The sequence below is a fragment of the Homo sapiens genome, chromosome 7 (assembly GCF_000001405.40).
Source record: "Homo sapiens chromosome 7, GRCh38.p14 Primary Assembly".
Classification (NCBI taxonomy): domain Eukaryota; kingdom Metazoa; phylum Chordata; class Mammalia; order Primates; family Hominidae; genus Homo; species Homo sapiens.
The window spans coordinates 148971327-148990312 of NC_000007.14; the positions used below are offsets into that span (position 1 = coordinate 148971327).

General features: G+C 45.9%; 1 long non-coding RNA gene and 2 other non-coding genes across 3 annotated transcripts, besides 9 other annotated features; 2 read left to right on the forward strand and 1 right to left on the reverse strand.

Moving 5' to 3' along the window:
• Positions 4963–5464: an enhancer, noted in NCBI's record as "H3K27ac hESC enhancer chr7:148673381-148673882 (GRCh37/hg19 assembly coordinates)". NCBI's record gives its function as "activates a minimal SCP1, AML or CMV promoter by ChIP-STARR-seq in primed H9 embryonic stem cells {active_cell/tissue: H9 hESC(primed)}" and the evidence as "EXISTENCE:reporter gene assay evidence [ECO:0000049][PMID:30033119]".
• Positions 5465–5964: an enhancer, noted in NCBI's record as "H3K27ac hESC enhancer chr7:148673883-148674382 (GRCh37/hg19 assembly coordinates)". NCBI's record gives its function as "activates a minimal SCP1, AML or CMV promoter by ChIP-STARR-seq in primed H9 embryonic stem cells {active_cell/tissue: H9 hESC(primed)}" and the evidence as "EXISTENCE:reporter gene assay evidence [ECO:0000049][PMID:30033119]".
• Positions 6585–7086: an enhancer, noted in NCBI's record as "H3K27ac hESC enhancer chr7:148675003-148675504 (GRCh37/hg19 assembly coordinates)". NCBI's record gives its function as "activates a minimal SCP1, AML or CMV promoter by ChIP-STARR-seq in naive H9 embryonic stem cells {active_cell/tissue: H9 hESC(naive)}" and the evidence as "EXISTENCE:reporter gene assay evidence [ECO:0000049][PMID:30033119]".
• Positions 8617–8817: a silencer, noted in NCBI's record as "peak6832 fragment used in MPRA reporter construct". NCBI's record gives its function as "represses an SCP1 promoter by STARR-seq MPRAs in K562 erythroleukemia cells {active_cell/tissue: K562}" and the evidence as "EXISTENCE:reporter gene assay evidence [ECO:0000049][PMID:32103011]".
• Positions 12032–12131: a silencer, noted in NCBI's record as "silent region_18739". NCBI's record gives its function as "represses an Ori minimal core promoter by ATAC-STARR-seq in GM12878 lymphoblastoid cells {active_cell/tissue: GM12878}" and the evidence as "EXISTENCE:reporter gene assay evidence [ECO:0000049][PMID:35858748]".
• On the forward strand, positions 12429–12530 carry RNY3 (RNA, Ro60-associated Y3). The gene has a single exon (NR_004392.1).
• Positions 15810–15922, reverse strand: RNY1 (RNA, Ro60-associated Y1). The gene has a single exon (NR_004391.1).
• Positions 15848–15917: a silencer, noted in NCBI's record as "silent region_18740". NCBI's record gives its function as "represses an Ori minimal core promoter by ATAC-STARR-seq in GM12878 lymphoblastoid cells {active_cell/tissue: GM12878}" and the evidence as "EXISTENCE:reporter gene assay evidence [ECO:0000049][PMID:35858748]".
• Positions 16060–16560: an enhancer, noted in NCBI's record as "H3K27ac hESC enhancer chr7:148684478-148684978 (GRCh37/hg19 assembly coordinates)". NCBI's record gives its function as "activates a minimal SCP1, AML or CMV promoter by ChIP-STARR-seq in naive H9 embryonic stem cells {active_cell/tissue: H9 hESC(naive)}" and the evidence as "EXISTENCE:reporter gene assay evidence [ECO:0000049][PMID:30033119]".
• Positions 16128–16177: an enhancer, noted in NCBI's record as "active region_26803". NCBI's record gives its function as "activates an Ori minimal core promoter by ATAC-STARR-seq in GM12878 lymphoblastoid cells {active_cell/tissue: GM12878}" and the evidence as "EXISTENCE:reporter gene assay evidence [ECO:0000049][PMID:35858748]".
• Positions 16201–18103, forward strand: GHET1 (gastric carcinoma proliferation enhancing transcript 1). Its single transcript, NR_130107.1, has one exon. It is a non-coding gene; the product is annotated as a gastric carcinoma proliferation enhancing transcript 1 (long non-coding RNA).
• Positions 16498–16547: an enhancer, noted in NCBI's record as "active region_26804". NCBI's record gives its function as "activates an Ori minimal core promoter by ATAC-STARR-seq in GM12878 lymphoblastoid cells {active_cell/tissue: GM12878}" and the evidence as "EXISTENCE:reporter gene assay evidence [ECO:0000049][PMID:35858748]".
• Positions 18104–18986: the final 883 nt, after the last annotated feature.

The following is an 18986-nucleotide window of genomic DNA, read 5'->3' on the forward strand; positions in this document are numbered from 1 at the left end:
CACCTGGCTAATTTTTGTATTTTTAGTAGAGATGGGGTTTCACCATGTTGGCCAGGCTGGTCTCCAGCTCCTGGCCCCATGTGATCCTCCAGCCTTGGCCTCTGAAAGTGCTAGGATTACAGGCGTGAGCCACAGTGTGTTTTTTGATTGTTTTGTTTTGTTTTCTGAGACAGTGTCTTGCTCCCAGGCTGGGGGTGCAGTGGAGTGGTGTGATTATGGCTCACTGCAGCCTCTACCTCCTGGGCTCAAACAATTCTCCCACCTCAGCTAACAAATAGCTGGGACAACAAGCGTGTGCCTCCACAATCAGCTAATTTTTTTTTTATGGTTTTGTGGAGATAAATTCTTGCCATGTTGCCTGGGTTGGTCTCAGACTCCTGGGCTCAAGTGATCCTCCTGCCTCAGGCCTCCCAAAGTGCTGGGATTATAGGCGTGAGCCACTGCGCCTGGCCCTCAGGTTAATTTTGATTGCATTGTGTAACTAGGTGGTCCCTGACTCCAGTGGCCCCCCCAAAACTTAACCCCTCACCTCTTCTATATCAATTTTCCCCACCATCTGAAAACATGCACCCATCTTAACCGTCTTGAAAAACGACGATTCCAGCTGGGCGCGGTGGCTCACGCCTTTAATCGCGGCACTATGGGAGGCTAAGGTGGGCGGATTGCTTGAGGTCAGGAGTTTGAGACCAGCCTGGCCAACGTAGTGAAACCGCATCTCTGCTAAAAATACAAAAATTAGCCACTCATAGTGGTGCATGCCTGTAGTCACAGCTACTCGGGAGGCTGAGGCAGGAGAATTGCTTGAACCCCGGAGGCGGAGGCTGCAGTGAGCCGAGATCTCGCCACTGCGCTCCAGCCTGGGCAACAGAGCAAGATTTCATCTTAAAAAAAGAAAAGAAAAACTGTGATTCCTCCCAACACCGTGGCCGTCTCTTTGCCTTCCACTCACTGCCAGCCTCCTATTCTGTATCCGGGAGGTGGATACAAATGGGTTCCGAATGCCACTGGGCACATCCAGTAGATGTTCCCTTTAAAATGTTTTTTTGAATCCCCCTGCTTTCTCGGGTCACCAGTTCTGTCTTGACAAACCCAGTGGCTGCTGAGTCCTTCTTCTCCTTAACCCAACTCTCACATGAAGCTCCTCCCTTCTGCCTGACTCTGCTTCCCTTTCTCTGCCTTCTCCAGCCCTTGGCCTACACAAATGTGCCTGTCCTTGATACATCTCCTACCCCACGGCTTCAGCCAGCTAGTTCCACATGAGTATCTCACTGGAACTTCAAGCAACCTCTTCACTACCAACCTTGTCATCCTTTCCTTCTCTTTTTCAGAACTGCCTCCCTCACTCAACTTCCCTGTTTTGATTCACGGAATGATCATCGCCTCTGCCCCTCGCCGGAAACCTTACGAGGCTTCTCCAAGGTTTCCCATCCACTGTCAATCACTTGGTTGTGTCTGAATTGTTCTTCAAAATGATTCCTCTGTTGTATTCTTTGCTTTCATTTCCATTCTTGTCCAGCTGCTTGTCTCTAAATTATAGCAACATTTAAAAAAAAAAGTTAAAAAAAAAAAAAAAGGTGGCCAGACAGTGGTTTACGCCTGTAATCCTAGCACTTTGGGAGGTCGAGGCAGGCAGATCACCTGAGGTCAGGAGTTCAAGACCAGCCTGGCCAACATTGCGAAACCCTGCCTCTACTAAAAATACAAAAATTAGCTCAGCGTGGTAGCGGGCGCCTGTGATCCCAGCTACTTGGGAGGCTGAGGCATGAGAATCGCTTGAACCTGGGAAGTGGAGGTTGCAGTGAGCCGAGATCACGCCACTGCACTCCAGCCTGGGAGACAGAGTGAGACTCCGTCTCAAGATAAATAAATAATAATGAAAATAATTTTTAAAAAGGTGTTCCTGGCCAGGCACGGTGGCTCATGCCTGTAATCCCAGCACTTTGGGAGGCTAAGGTGGGCGGATCACTTGAGGTCAGGAGTTCGATACCAGCCTGGCTAACATAGGGAAACCCGTCTCCAAAAAAAAAAAAAAAAAGGTATTCCTGCACATAGCTCATGAAAGGGGAAAAAAAAATCACAGGACAGTTCCTGACTGACCTGGCTGAGCTCCATGAGCTGTGAGTATTAACCCCGCCCCACCCAAGTCTGCTCTGCCATTTGCCTGCCTTTTCCACGCCTCCTTCAATACCATTTCCACCAAACAACGCCTCAATTAGGAATGAATCAGGCTCCCCTACTGCTGCAATGCAGATGCCCTGCCAGGGGCAAAGGACCCCAGAATCTGGACCCACTCTACCTTTCCTACTTGTATAGTGAGTTTTACAATGAGTAGTTTATAAAAATCTGATTTTTGTCCCCCTCCGCCCCCCTCAAAAGCCCTCACAGATCGGTTTTGGGGAATGCTTGGAACCCAAGCAACTCATTATTTGTATAAGTGTAAATAAACCAAAAGAGTCAAACCTTTCTGCCTTTATTAAACATACTGCATGCACCTCAGTAACTTAATAGTCGCTGAAGGAAACTTTCTGTTTATAGAGTATGTCACCTACGAAATGAAGAAGAAATAGAATTAAAACATCACCGTTTTGCAACCCCTGATGAATTAACAAAGTTAGGCAACAATTATTAACAGCTGTTAGTACCACAAAAAGAGGTAATCTGACGTTATGTACCTCTTCATCGAAGTTCAAAATACCATTTATAAAGTAAGGCCAAAAAAGATACAACTGGAATCTGATCAAGACTCCAGACCCAACCACCCACTTACAGGAGACGCCGAGGAAGGGAGCCCTTTAAACACCACCACTGAGGGCAGTCATGAAGCGAACCTGTGAAAACGCCACAGGTTTCCTCAACAAACAAATTGCAAGAGAGAGAGGGAGAAACCTGTACGTTAGAAGAGAATTAAGAGTCAGGAAGTAGATTAGTGGTTGCCAGGGGCTAGGGGGCAGGAGGGGGAAATGGGAGTGACTGCTAATGAACACAGAGATTTCATTCTGGGGTGATGAAAACGTTCTGGAATTAGATAGTGGGTGATGGTTGCAGAATCTTCTGAATATGCTAAACATAAGTGCAGTGGCGTGATCTCACTGCAGCCTCTGCCACCTGGGTTCAAGTGATTCTCCTGCCTCAGCCTCCCGAGTAGCTGAGATTAGAGGCATGAGCCACCATGCCCAGATAATTTTTGTATTTTCAGTAGAGATGGGGTTTCACCATGTTGGCCAGGCTGGTCTCAAACTCCAAACGTCAGGTGATGTACCCGCCTCGGCCTCCCAAAGTGCTGGGATTACAGGCATGAGCCACTGTGGCTGGCTGAATTGTATACTTTTAAGGGTGACTTTTATATGTGAGTTATATCTTAACTAAAAAAAAGGTTTTAAGAAATACATTAACTGGGCCGGGCGCGGGGGTTCACGCCTGTAATCCCAAAGTTTGGGAGGCCAAGGTGGTTGGATCGCTTGAGCCCAGGAGTTCAAGACCAGCCTGGGCAACATGGTGAAACTCTGTCTCCATTAAAAACACAAAAATTACCCGGGTGTGGTGGCATGCACCTGTAGTCCCAGCTATTAGGGAGGCTGAGGCACAAGAATCACTTGAACCCAAGAGGCGGAGGTTGCAGTGAGCTAAGATCGCACCACTGCACTCCAGCCTGGGTGACAGAGTGAGACTACGTCTCAAACAAACAAACAAAAGGAAACACATTAACCAATTACAGTGGATGGGTCTTATTTTGGATTCAAATTCAAAATACAAGCTGGAAAAAACTTTTGTTTTTTTTTTTTTTAGACAGAGTCTCACTCTACATACATATTCTTTATACTTAGTTAAAATGCATTCTTGTTTGTTTAAGGACAACTTAGGTGGCAATTTCTGTGCCTAGAGAAGAGGCTGGCAGAAGCTATGGGCGCTCCCTCTGGTCTTTGCTGGCCACCTACTGCTTGAGTAATGGATTTGTAGCAAGCTAGAATGTTTATTTCATGCCAAAGTGGGGGTGGCAGGGCATGGCTGATTTGAGGGGTCAGGATGAAGTGGAGAAGGTATTTTGGGCACATTCTCTGCAGCACACAAGGAAGCTCTAGTGGGCTTAGCACAGGCTTTTTGGAATTGGACAGACCTGGGTTTGATCCTAGCTTAGCCATGGAATCCTTCACGCCACATCCCAGATTTGCAGGATCATTGAATGGAGGTGTCAGTGAAACAATCACTGTAAAAGTCAGTAATGTAGCAGCTCTACCATTAGAAAGGGATTGCAACAGATATCAGGGAACAGTGGGGTTTTTTAATTATTATTATTATTATTATTTTTTGAGACAGAGTCTCACTCCACACTGGAGTACAGTGGCGCAATCTCAGCTCACTGCAACCTCCGCCTCCCGGGTTCAAGCGATTCTCCTGCTTCAGCTTTCCAAGTAGCTGGAATTACAGGCATGTGCCATCAAGCCCGGAAAATTTTTGTATTTTTAGTAGATATGGGATTTCACCATGTTGGTCAGGCTGGTCTTGAACTCCTGACCTCAGGTGATCTGCCTGCCTTGGCCTCCCAAAGTATTGGGATTACAGGCGTGAGCCATGGTGCCTGACCGGGGTTAATTTTTAAGTGGTGTAAAATTGTGACTGACAGCAGGTGACAGATGCCATGGTTATGCTTTTCAGCATCCAGCTTTCTTTTCAGTACCAAGGAGGTGGACAAAGCTAAAAACCACATTTCCCAGAAGGCCCTGCAGCTGGGTCTGGAGGTGATGTAGGTTCAGCCTCTTAGATGCACTAACTCACTGCAAGACTTGAATTTCTAATCAGATGGGGTGGGGGCTGGCAGGATGAGGCTTACATTTTGCTGGGACAGACTGGAGCAGAGAGCAGGGATTCATGGCCATAACTGCCTCCTGGCAGCCGAGGATCTCCTGAAGCTGGGCAGGGGCATGAGCTCTCTCAAAGGCCCAGACCTGCGCCAGGCTTTGGGCAGTGTTGATCCCTTCTGCTTATATTAGCTAGAGTGAAGTTCATGACCAACTCAGAGGCTCCTTTGGGAATCTGATGACAGCTGTGGATCTTCTTTCCAGGAAAACACATGCACATGAGGAGGAGACAGAAGATTTTTTATAAAATACAAGGAGTGCTAGGATCTTCTAAGCCCCTCCAAGGACCAGGTCTAGAGGCTGGGAGGTCACGCCTCTCATCTCTAACTAGAGTGCATTGTCCTGGAGAAGCATGGGCCTTGCCATGGGACGGGTTCAGCCTCTGGTACTTGAGCAGAGGGACTGCCTCCCTGCCTTTGTCATGGCCCTGCAGTGTGGAGAGGCTCCAGGAGGAGTGTCTGCAGTGCGGAGGGCCAGGCATTGAGATGCAGAAAAAGGGAAGTTGCATTTATCCAGGTGAAAAACGAAACCCCTGCTGGCTCAGGCCTGTAATCCCAGCACTCTGCGGGCGGATCACGAGGTCAAGAGATCGAAACCATCCTGGCCAACATGGTGAAACCCTGTCTCTACTAAAAATACAAAAATTAGCTTGGTGTGGCGATGCGTGCCTGTAGTCCCAGCTACTTGGGAAGCTGAAGCAGGAGAATCGCTTGAACCCGGGAGGCAGAGCTTGCAGTGAGCTGAGATCGTGCCACTGCACTCCAGCCTGGGTGACAGAGGGAGACTCTGTCTCAAAAAAAAAAAAACCCAAGAAGCTCAGTAGTTATACAGTAAATTATCTAAAGCCTCCGAGACTCTGCAAACAAAGCAGTTAGTTACAACATGGACCTCCTCAGGCTCTGCCAAAGTTGTTCTTGGGTTGTCTGGACATCTCTCTATCTCAAACTGAAGGGCTGTGTGTATTGGAGCAGAGGCAGTGGAGGACTTATTTTCAAAATGTAAGCCTTCACACAGACTACCCTGTTTGTGGAAGGGGCCATTCAAACTAGAGAACCTGGCTGGGTGTGGTGGCTCACGACTGTAATCCCAGCACTTTGGGAGGCCAAGACAGGTGGATCACCTGAATTCAGGAGTTCGAGACCAGCCAGGCCAACATGGTGAAACACCATCCCTACTAAAAATACAAAAATCAGCCGGGTGTGGTGGCACATGCCTGTAATCCCAGCTACTCAGAAAGCTGAGGCAGGAGAATCGCTTGAACCCAGGAGGTGGATGTTGCAGTGAGCCGAGATCATGCCACTGCACTCCAGCCTGGGCGACAGAGCGAGACTCAGTCTCAATAAATTAAAAAAAAAAAAAAAAAAATTGGCCAGGCACGGTGGCTCACGCCTGTAATCCCAGCACTTTGGGAGGCCAAGGTGGGCGGATGACGAAGTCAGGAGTTCGAGACCAGCTTGACCAACATGGTGAAACCCCGTCTCTACTAAAAATACAAAAATTAGCCCAGCGTGGTGGCACGTGCCTGTAGTCCCAGCTACTCGGGGGGCTGAGGCACGAGAATCTCTTGAACCTGGGCCGCAGAGGTAGCAGTGAGCCGAGATAGCGCCACCGCACTCCAGCCTGGGTGACAGAGTGAGACTCCGTCTCAATAAAATAAAAAAATAAATAATACAAATAAAAATTATCGTGTTTTGGTGATTTTGAGTTTTTAATTTATAGTGATTTCAAACTCATATTTCTATCATTTTATGTTCAATAATTTTATATTTATATAGAATGATTTTATACCTGTTATTATTATTATACATAATATGTTAACTAAAAATTTTTTTTTCTTTAGAAAGGAGATCCTTTTACCAGTATCGCTAAGACCCTCAGTAGCTCATGTCAAACCCATCATCATTATTTGAGGGGTGGGTACAAAAACATGAGTTGTTGATGATGAGTATGGGAAGAAATACCCAACATTCCTCCCCAAATTCTGGGCCAATTCAGGAGCCTACTCCATACAGGCAGGACAGAGGAATGAAATATGTCCTCCAATGGAGTTACAGGAGGTGGGTACAGCACAGCTGAGGAATGAGGACGTGCGCTTCCGCGGGAGGGGAACTTCAGGGAATTGCAGGAAAATCGGAGATTAGAGGATGTGGAGAGGCGGGGAAGGGCAGCCTTGCAGCTGCTTGGGATCTACTGGGATCGGACAGCAGAAAGGGAGTAAGATGAAGTGTCCCATTAACAGCCACCTGAGGAAGGGAGAGGGACTTGTCCCCACATCAGGGCCCAGGTGGCTGTGAGCCGCATCATTCAGACCCCAGGCTCAGACTGAAAAACAACAGAACAAACGGCTCTCCCTGGGGCCTGGGAATCCCAGGAGAGAGTAATAATAATCATTCCAGGAGGGAACTTGCTGGGGTGTCTGGCTTATCACCCCGCACAGGGCAGGGAGCTGTCAGAGAAGACCTAAAACAATCAGAAACCAACTAGAAGGTGGCTGGCTTTTCATGATTTTCATGGCGATGCCCTGGCAATTTTAAACAATGCCAACAAGAAAAGGCTCCTCCCCCAAAGCCTCTATTGGTCTAAATTCTAAAATGTTGCTGCAGTTGCCCCTGGATTTCAGTCATATACATGTAGGATTGGAATGAGCACATTTTAAGTCTTCCCTTTACTACGCATCATATGACTACATGAGAGTTAATTTGGAGAACTCTCAAGCCAACACGACGTGCAGACTCAGTTAAAACATTTGTTTGAAGAGTGAGTTCCTTTAGGTTCCCCAGGACTCACATGGTTAGTAATAAACTACCATTTGACATCTGTAGACTACTTCATCCAACAACGGCAGAATATACTTTCTTCTCAAGTTCACACGGAACACTCACCAAGATAGACGATATTCCGGGCAATAAAAGGTACGTTTATGCCTCAACAAGTCTAAAAAAATAGAAATCATACAACATCTGCTCTCAGACCACATGGAATTAAACTAGAAATCAATAACAGAACAATATCTGGAAAATCCCCAAATATTTGAGGGTTAAACAATAAACTTGTATTAGTCCGTTCTCACACTGCTATAATGAATTTCCCCACCAGGTGCAGTGGCTCAAGCCTGTAATCACAGCTCTTTGGGAGGCCAAGGAGGGCAGATCACCTGAGGTCAGGAGTTCAAGACCAACCTGGCCAACACGGTGAAACCCCATCTCTACTAAAAATTACAAAAAATTAGCCGGGTGTGGCGGCAGGCACCTGTAATCCCAGCTACTTGGGAGGTTGAGGCAGGAGAATCGTTTGAACTTGGGAGGCAGAGGTTGCAGTGAGCCGAGACTGTGCCATTGCACTCTAGCTTGGGCAACAAGAGCAAAACTCCATCTCAAAAAAAAAAGAGACCAGGCACTGTGGCTCATGCCTGTAATCCCAGCACTTTGGGAGGCTGAGGCAAGCAGATCACTGGAGGTCAGGACTTCCTGACCAACGTGGTGAAAACCCATCTCTACTAAAAATACAAAAATTAGCTGGTCGTGGTGGTGCATGCCTGTAATCCCAGCTACTTGGGAAGCTGAGGCAGGAGAATCGCTTGAACCTGGGAGGCAGAGGTTGCAGTGAGCTGAGATCGCTCCATTGCACTCCAGCCTGGGCAACAAAAGCAAAAAAACTCTGTCCCAAAACTGGGTAATTTATAAAGGAAAGAGGTTTAATTGACTCACAGTTCTCATGGCTGAGGAGGCCTCAGGAAATTTATAATCACGGCGGAAGAAGCAGCAAGCACCTTCTTCATAAAACAGCACTAGAGAGACCACAACAAGCAGGAGAGGAACTACCAAAGAAACACTTATAAAACCATCAGATCTCGTGAAACTCACTCACTATCACGAGAATAGCACGCGGGAAACCACCTCCATGTTTCAATTACCTCTCACCAGGTTCCTTCCTCAACACCTGAGGATTACAATTCAAAGCTGGGTGCGGTGGCTTATGTCTGTATTCCCAGCACTTTGGGAGGCTGAGGCGGGTGGACCACCTGAGGTCAGGAGCTCGAGACCAGCCTGGCCAACACAGTGAAACCCCATCACTACTAAAAATACAAAAATTAGCTGGGCACGGTGGTGGGCACCTGTAATCCCAGCTACAGGGGAGGCTGAGGCAGGAGAATCACTTGAATCCAGGAGAAGGAGGTTGCAGATCACACCATTGCACTCCAGCCTGGGCAACAAGAGCAAAACTCCGTCTCAAAAAAAAAGAAAAAAAATTTTTTTCAAGATGAAATTTGGGTGGGAACGCAAAGCCAAACCATATATATATAATTTTTTTTTAAGACAGTCTTGCTCTGTCGCCCAGGCTGGAGTGCAGTGGAGTGATCTCGGATCACTGCAACCTCCATCTCCCGGGATGGAGAGATTCTGGTGCCTCAGTCACCCAGCCACCATCATGCCTTGCTAATTTTTGTATTTTTAGTAGAGATAGGATTTCGCCATGTTGGCCAAGCCAGTCTCGAACTCCTGACCTCAGGTAATCTGCCCACCTCAGTCTCCCAAAGTGCTGGAATTACAGGTGTGAGCCACCAAGCCCAGCCCATATTAACACTTCTTTTTCTTTTTTTTTTTTTTTTTTTGATACGGAGTCTCACTCTGTCACCCAGGCTGGAGTACAGTGGCATGATCTCGGCTCACTGCAACCTCCACTCTCCGAGTTCAAGCGATTCTCCTGCCTCAGCCTCCCAAGTAGCTGCGATTATAGGCGCCTGCCACCGCTCCCGGCTAACTTTTGGTATTTTTAGTAGAGACGGGATTTCACCATCTTGGCCAGGCTGATCTTGAACTCCTGACCTTGTGATCCACCCGCCTCAGCCTCCCAAAGTGCTGGGATTACAGGCGTGAGCCACCACACCCCGCCAACACTTCTAAATAACATATTTAGAACTAAATAAAAAATGAAAATACATCCCATTTATGGGGTGCAGCAAAAAGAGTGTTTAGAGGAAAATTGATAGCATTAAATGCATACATTAGTAAAGAAGAAAGATCTATAGTCCATATTCTAGGTTCCCACCTTAAGAAGCTAGAAAAAGAAAAGCAAATTAAATCCAAAGTAAGCAGAAGAAAAGAACTAATAAAAATTAGAGCAGAAATCAATTAACTTAAAAAACAGGAAATCAGTAGAGAAGATCAGCCTCCGGCCAGGCTGACAAAGACGAAAAAGAGAGAATACACAAATCACTAATATCAGAAAGAGAAATTAAATGAAACAGTTGCCATGGACAAGCTGAAAGACCCAGAATAGCCAACAACGTTGAAGCAGAACAAAGTCACAGGACTGACCCTACCCAACCTCAAGATGGACTGTATAAAGCTACAGTAATCAAGACAGTGTGGTATTAGTGAAAGAACAGATAGATCAATGCAACAGAATAGGGAACCCACAAACTGGCACACATAAGGGTAGTCAAGTGATGTTTCACAAAGAGGCAATGGCAGCACAGCAGAGAACAGATTAACAAACGGCTCTGGAACAATGGGATTTAAATTGATTGTGTGTATGTGAGAGAGAGAGAGAGAGCGTCTCATTCTGTCACCCAGGCTGGAGTGCAGTATCACGATCTCGGCTCACTGCAACTTCCACCTCCTGGCGCAAGCGATTTTCATGTCTCAGCCTCCCGAGCATCTGGGATTACAGGCATCTGCCACCACACCCGGCTAATTTTTGTATTTTAGTAGAGACGGGGTTTTACCATGTTGGCCAGGCTGGTCTCGAACTCCTGACCTCAGATGATCGGTTCGCCTCGGCCTCCCAAAGTGCTGTGATTACAGGCAGGAGCCACCGGTCCGGCCAAAATTTTATATTTTAAAAATCAATTTAAGGCCGGGCATGGTGGCTCACACCTGTAATCTCAGCACTTTGGGAGGCCAAGGCGGGTAGATCATCTGAGGTCAGGAGTTCGAGACTAGCCTGGCTAACATGGTGAAATCCCGTCTCTACTAAAATTACCAAAAAATTAGCCAGGCATGGTGGCGGGTGCCTGTATTCCCAGCTACTCCGGAGGCTGAGGCGGCAGAATCGCTTGAACCCGGGAGGCAGAGGTTGTAGTGAGTAGAGATCGTGCCATTGCACTCCAGCCTGGGCGACAGAGCGAGGAGACCCTGTCTCAAAAAAAGAAAAAAAGGAAAGAAAATTTAAGTGTGTTTAATGTAAAAGTGAAAACACACAGCCTTTACGCAGGGAACACAAGATATAATACTTGGTAGGTGGAAAGTTCATTTCATAACATGAAATCTTTTTCTAAATTTGAAAAAAAAAAACTTTAAAATGGACATATCTTCTTTTTTAAATTGTTAATTGCTTCTTTTAAAATTAATGGACTAATCGCAAAATCCAGTGATACATACTGATTATTTCATGCGTTTTACTGAAAATAATTTTGTAGTAAGAGGATTGTTCAAAATGACCCGCTCTGGGGGTCAAGGGGTCGGGCCCCCACTGCAGAGCCTGGAAAGGCAAAGACCCCCGAGGCTGCGCTCCCCTCGCCCTTCGTGTCGGGTCCTGCCCCACCCGGCAGCTCCTGGGACCCGCTGTGCGGCCCAGGGCTGGGGGCCCAGGCTGCCCCTGCTGAGAAGCCAGGTGCGCGTTCAGCCCCCGGGAGTCTCTCCGAGGCTCTGTGCGCCTCATTCCTCCACGGCGTCACTTTTTAAAAAGATAATTGCTAATTATGTATTTTAAAATGTTAGCTTCCACGGACCGAATGTTTCCCTTTCTGTTTAGAGTGGGGTTCCTAACCTCCTTCCAGAATAGCTCAAGGTCCCCAGTGCAGCCGCTTTGAAACAAAACCACTTGGTAACAGGAGCGCAGGACTATGGCGAAACCGCCAGGAAAGCTTCCTAAAGAGCTCAAACAAAACAAAACAAACCTTGGAAAGCTCAAGAAAAGCATCGTGGGTGACACCAGAATCTGGGACTTCATTCATTCATACATTCATTCATTCATTTTTAAAGAGGGTCGTTGGGAAGGAAAAGGGGAGGGGACGCCGGGCTGCAGGGCTCCTCGCAGGACACACGCTCCCCCTCCACGGGGAACCGGGGGTGGGGGCGCGGGCGTGGGGGGCCGCGCCAGCCCTGCGTGGGGTCCGGGACCACCGAACCGCGGGGACCCCTGATCCCGGGGGGGCCACTGAATTCCAAGGGGCCCCCGCCCGCCCGGCCCCACCCCCGCGGCGGGTTGCCTCTTCCTTCTTAAGAGGACGTCCCCTCCCGCTCTAGACGTCCTGGCCCTGTGAGACTGAGGCCCCGCCGGGGGCACCGTGGGAGTCTTTGATGGATGTGGCTGATGCAGGGTTTCCATGCAAATCACCCACAATGCTTTGAGCAGGGTTGCCCGAGCTCCTTTAATGTCACTGAAGAGAGAAGGACCTTTTTCTTACAAAGTCTATGTGTTTAACAGTTTTATTTTTTAAACATTTGCTTTCTATTTGGGGTGTATTTATACTCTTCCTTTTTTTTAGCTCCTGTGAATAGTCACCGTAACTATGGTAGAGATGGAACTTTCGAGGCTTATATAAGTAGCAGCGTGCCTTTGTGTTTCGGCTGGTCCGAGTGCAGTGGTGTTTACAACTAATTGATCACAACCAGTTACAGATTTCTTTGTTCCTTCTCCACTCCCACTGCTTCACTTGACTAGCCTTTTGCTGTGGTTTTGGGGTGGGAAAGCATTTTCTGTTCCCCAATACAGAACAGCCAAGATCCTGCCTGAAGGTTTTTCTTAAGCACACCACTACTTGCCAGTGAAGATGACTAGTGGACAGAGCACATTAAGTGTTTTTAGGAGCCTGGCATGCTCCGTGTTGAAAAGGGAGGTCCCCTCGTCTCTGAATTGTACCTTGAGAATAAGGAGAACCATAGGTTTAGGTGACCTAAGGAATGAACCATGTCTCACGCACCTCCTTATCCACGGTGTCAGGCATGAAGAAGAGGGATCCAGGAGAGGGCAAAGGTCCGCAGAGTGCAGTGGTAAGAGAGCAAGCTTTTCAAATTGCAAAGTAATGTACATAGCATGATTCTATTTCACACTGAAAAGTAAAACACTTTGCACATCTGTGCTTAAGCTTGTCTGTGTTAATACAGTATTAGCAAGATCAAAGATGAAGAAAATCCCAAGCTGTTAACCTAGAAATGATGCAGACACGAAGCTTTCCTCTTTACTGTGTGGTGGGGAAACTGCTCACCTCGGACACGATGGTTCATGGTATTATCTCTAAACCTGGATCCACCAAGCTTTGCTTTTCTTGTAAAACATAAAGATTTTGGTATTGGAAAATATCCCCTTTCTCTTCGCAAATGCCGCGCTTTTGCAAATCAAAATTATTTTGGCTTCAAACTACTGTCTGTGCAATGACAGTAGGATATAGTGTGCAATATTTGGGACATACTTATGCTAAAAATCTATTTACACTATTGTTCAAATTTGACCAGGCATCCTGTATTTTATCTGACAATCCTATCTTATTCAAATACGTCTTAGGAAAGAACTAATGCCAAACTCTTTTCTTCCTCAAGTTATCATATTACTCTGAGCTGGCCTTATAGTTGCACTGGGCATTCATTATTGCTTTGCAGATATTATCTGGTTAGGAAGTTTCTGGAGATAGGATACATATGTCATCAAGACTGATAGAATTGTGCAGTCTCATATCTGTGGAATGAAATCAACCTAAAGTCAGAGAAATTGACTCTGCTCTCGTGTTAGTTTCGTAGTGTCCATATTAACAGTTATTCCACCATCAACTACATACTTTTTTCTCTCTCTCTCCCTCCCTCCTAACTATCCATCCATCTATCTTTTAGTTTTTAGCAATGTTTCCACTGACTGGAATAGTACAGCAATTGGTTTCATGGCTTTGTTGACATTGTTTGATTGCTGGTTTTTCTTTGCGGGGTAGCAGAGAGAATACTTTTGGGGAAGAAAGGTTATTCTGGCTCTGCAAGCAATGAACTCAGTGGCTGACTCTCGGCTGCTTATGTGATCTCTCTCAGAACCTCAGTTTCTTCATTTGTAAAATGATAATGTCTGTCATACTAATTTAACTGGACTGCAAAGAATATTAAATGAAATAGGTCATATGAAAATACCCTGTACCTTATAAAACACAATACAAATGTATTCCTTTGCAAATATCAAATGGTGACTATGGCCAATAGACTGTTACTCTCTTGCAATATCATTTAATTGCCATTATTCCTGAGATACAGTGACAGTCCTGTGTTCATAGCTGGTACGTGATCATAGCAACATCAGTTGGCTTGAACAATCACTGTAATTAAGGCATATCTATTATTGAAGAAGCAGCAAGCTAGCTGTACGGGAAAAGCCTCGGGACTTAGATTGAGGAGACCCTTAAGTCTTGACTTCCTGATTCAGTTACCTCTCACCAGGTTCCCCCTCAACACCTGAGAATTACAATTCAAGGCCGGGTGTGGTGGTTTTTGCCTGTATTCCCAGCACTTTGGAGCCCGAGGTTGGCGGACCACCTGAGGTCGGGAGTTCGAGACCAGCCTGACCAACATGGAGGAACCCCGTCTCCACTAAAATACAAAAAATTAGCTGGGCGTGGTGGCACATGCCTGTAATCCCAGCTACTCGGGAGGCTGAGGCAGGAGAATCGCTTGAACCTGGGAAGCGGAGGTTGCAGTGAGCCGAGATCGCGCCATTGTGCTCCAGCCTGGGGAACAAGAGCGAAACTCCGTCTCAGAAAGAAAAAAAAAAAACAAAAAACCCCACAGGGAAGCTCTTGGGAAACCCACATGTGCCCTCAAGGTGCCTTGGGTTACTTTCACCTATAAGAAAAATTTAAATATTCTTTTGTTGTATACACATTTGTGGCAGTCACACTGTACTGCAACACCACCACAATCTCATCAAACAACACTTTGCCTCGAGGCTGTTAGGAATGTATACTTCCATGTAGCGAAGAGGGAAGGAAGATCAGTGTAATGACCCTTTGTTTCTGATGAGGAGGCAGCTGCGTGGCTTTCTAAAGGCTACATAAGAACCTAAGGGCTGAACCAGGATTAGAAAGTGGCTCTGGTGCCTCACGTGGTGAGCATCCCGCAATGTACTCTGCCCTCTTCCGCCTTCTCTATTTTCAAACTCTTGGACTTGGTTTGTCTTCCTCCAAAATACTTTCTCTCTGAAAATGTTCACATCTCTTAGCTTCAAAACTTAACTGGATTGTCGACTTTGAAATGCCTCTTAATTTTGTCCATTGAGTGTTGTATCATCAAATACCAGTCCTTAATCCTACTGATATTAAAACATTAAAAAAATCCTGGCCGTGCGCGGTGGCTCACGCCTGTAATCCCAGCACTTTGGGAGGTTGAGGCAGGAGGATCACTTGAGGTTAGGAGTTCAAGACCAGCCTGGCCAACATGGCGAAACTTCGGTCTTTACAAAAATAGAAAAATTAGCCAGGCGTGGTGGCGCGCGCCTATAGTCCCAGCTACTCAGGAGGCTAAGGCAAGATAATCGCTTGGACCCACGAGGCGGAGGTTGCAGTGAGCCGAGATCACACCACTGCACTCCAGCCTGGGTGACAGAGACTCCAGCCTGTCTCAAAAAAAAAAAAAAAAAAAAAAAAAAAGAAAGAAAAGAAAAGAAAAAGTACAAGAAAAAGAAAAACCCCTATTCACCCTCATCCCATTTCCTGTCTTTGATCTCTTAGGACATACTATACCATCTTTACCAATAATTGGTCCGTAGTATCTATTACTATTTATTTGATTTTTGTTTTCTTTTTCCTTCTTGTCTGTGATGGGTTTTCCCAAATTTACTGTTTGTTTCTGGAAGAAAAGAATAGTACTTCGTTTTCCCCCTGTATTCCATGCTTTATTTAATGATGCTGACTTTCAACATTTTAAAATTGAGATGAAAACAAGAAACGAGGGATGCCAGGAGAGTGGAAACTCTCGTAAAAGACTAGTCAAGTGCAGTAGTGAGAAGGGGGGAAAGAGTAGAACAAGGAGTTCGATCTGTAACTGACTGTGAACAATCAATTGAGATAACTCACTACCTTCGGACCAGCCAATAAGTCCTCCTACTGTTTGAACTATTTAAAGCCCCCAAATTTGTTCATTTTCCCCTTACAGTGATATTCTGGTTTCAGTTTACTGATGACTATATTTACAATATTAATGATATATATATACTCTAAGAATTCCCTGGCACATCTATTTATCAATAGCTGGAAAAACGTACTGAATAACAAGAATCAGACGTGTTGCTAAGCATCCTGGGAAAGAGATATGCAAAATTAGCATTTCGTCATCAGGGCGTCTTTCCCCCGGTTTGTCTTGAGTGGCTCAGCCACCGCAAGGTACCAGAGAGCCGCCCAATCTGCGCTGGCCTCCTTTATCTGTTTGCTGTGTGACCCTCCGGACAGCTCTGTGGGACCTGGAGGAAACTGTGAGCCCTACAGATAAAGTCTGTGCTTCCAGCGTCGGTAAATCCCAGCAAGCGCCACTACCTGGAGGCTGACACTTTCCCATCTTGGCAGTCAGCTCCCTACAGAGGTGCTTCTCCCACTGCCCAAGATCCCTGCCTCCTCCTTAAACCCCAACTGATAGAACAGAAACCACCACCTAAGGAACGTGAAGGGGAAGCATCTGAAACACCAGAAGATCTTGGATTGTTCCTGAGGACTTCAGAATCTACAGGGACAAAAGGCAGAAGCAGGAAGTCCGAAGTAAAGATGACTAAGAAAAGGCGGGTGGAAAAGATTTCTGTGAAAGTGTCAGAGGCAAAGCTCTGAAAGACCTGAAACTCATGCCGAAAGCAAAGAACAGCAAAAAGACAGTAGGGATGTGTCTGGAGCAACAAGGATCGGGCTGTTCCTGGGGCAGCCGAATTCACAGCTCTGTTTTACTCCTAATGGAGGATCTTCCTGCTGCAGCGGCGAGTAGACCTTACTGTAAAGGTGCAGGCAAGGGGAGGGGAAGGGCAGGCAGCTGCCCATTGGAGTTCACATCTCCAAGCCTGAGAAAATGTGTTCCTGGATGCCCCAAGCCAATGGAAAAGCAGAATCATTGACTATGTTTGACTCCTTCTGGTACCTAGCACAGTATCTGGGACACAGCAGGTGCTATGTAAATGTGTTGAGTGAATGAATGAATGAATGCCATTGAGGAGAATGAATAACCCCAGAAAACTAGACATGGGTAGATGTTGTCCTAATTTCAAAAGAGGGGAAAATGAGAGTGAGAGTTTCATAAATGACAATCTCTAAACGATGTTGCTCTCTAGCAAAATTCTAGAATGGATTATTTTAAGAACAAAGCAGGTAAACATTGGCAGCCAACTTGAAATTAATAAGAAAAAGGTGTGCGCCAGAATAGTTTTATTTCCTTTTGTTTTTCATTGTACAGCTTGATTTGACTAAGTTGTTTATACCTTTCACTCTGCCTTTGCATGCACTGGGGGTGATCTAGTCTACTATGTGGACTGGAAGTCCACCCAGTGGCCAGGCTCAGAGGCAGGGAAGGGGGGTTGGTGCCATTCTGGGAGAGGAGGTTTCTGGGGCTGTTTCTCAGCCAGATCCTGTCTCATCTGTTTCCAACAACCCCACAAATGAAGACACTGAAGCTGACTAATCAAATTGACTGATGCCCCAATAGGTGTCATGATATGCAGTGAGAATCCGGCAGGCATTAGAGATGAACAGCACGGGCTGCAGCCACATTATCTCAGCTTGAGTCCTAGTTTTCACCAGCTACTAGCTAGCTATCTCTGGTCAAGTCACTTACCTTGCTTGAGCCTCAGTTTCTCCATCTAGAAAATGGTCATAATCGAAGTATCTATCTTATAGGGTGTTGGGAAGATTAACTGAGAAGCCACATAGAGTTTACTGGCACATTAAAAAAAGAAACTATAAGAATGTTAGCTGTCCTTTTGCACGGCAAAAGGAACAGTAAGCAGAGTAAACAGACAACCCACAGAGTGGGAGAAAATCTTCCCAATCTATACATCCGACAAAGGACTAACATCCAGAATCTACGAGGAACTCAAATTAGCAAGAAAAAAACAATCCCATCAAAAACTGGCCTAAGGACATGAATAGACAATTCTCAAAAGAAGATATACAAATGGCCAACAAACATATGAAAAAGTGCTCAATATCACTAATGATCAGGGAAATGCAAATCAAAACCACAATGCAATACCACATTACTCCTGCAAGAATGGCCATAATAAAAAAAAAATCAAAAAAATAATAGATGTTGGTGTTGATATGGTGAAAAGCGAACACTTCTACACTGCTGGTGGGAATGTAAAGTAGTACAACCACTATGGAAAACAGTGTGGAGATTCCTTAAAGAACTAAAAGTAGATCTACCATTTGATCCAGCAATCCCACTACTGGATATCTACCCAGAGGGGAAAAAAAAAGTCATTATATGAAAAAGATGCTTGCACATGCATGTTTGTAGCAGCACAATTCGCAATTGCAAAAATATGGAACCAGCCCAAATGCCCATCAACCAACAAATGGATAGAGAAACTGTGGCATAGGGCTGGGCGCCGTGGCTCACGCCTGTAATCCCAGCACTTTGGGAGGCTGAGGCAGGCGGATCACGAGGTCAAGAGTTTGAGACCATCCTGGCCAACATGGTCAAAGCCTGTCTCTACTAAAAATACAAAAATTAGCCGAGTGTGGTGGCGTGCACCTGTAGTCTCAGCTACTTAAGAGGCTGAGGCAGGAGAATCGCTTGAACCTGGGAGGCGAAGGTTGCAGTGAGCCAAGATCACACCACTGTACTCCAGCCTGGCAACAGAGCAAGACTCTGTCTCAAAAAAAAAAAAAAAAAAAAAAAAAAAAAAAAAAAAAAAAGAAAGAAAAAAAAGAAAAAAGAAACTGTGGCATATATATACAATGGAATACTACTCAGCCATAAAAAGGAGTGAATTAATGGCATTTGCCGCAACCTGGATGAGATTGGAGACTATTATTCTAAGTGAAGTAACTCAGGAATGGAAAACCAAACATTGTATGTTCTCACTTATAGTGGGAAATAAGCTCTGAGGATGCCAAGGCATAAAAATGATACAATGGACTTTGGGACTTTGTGGGGGAAAGGGTAGGAAGGGGATGAG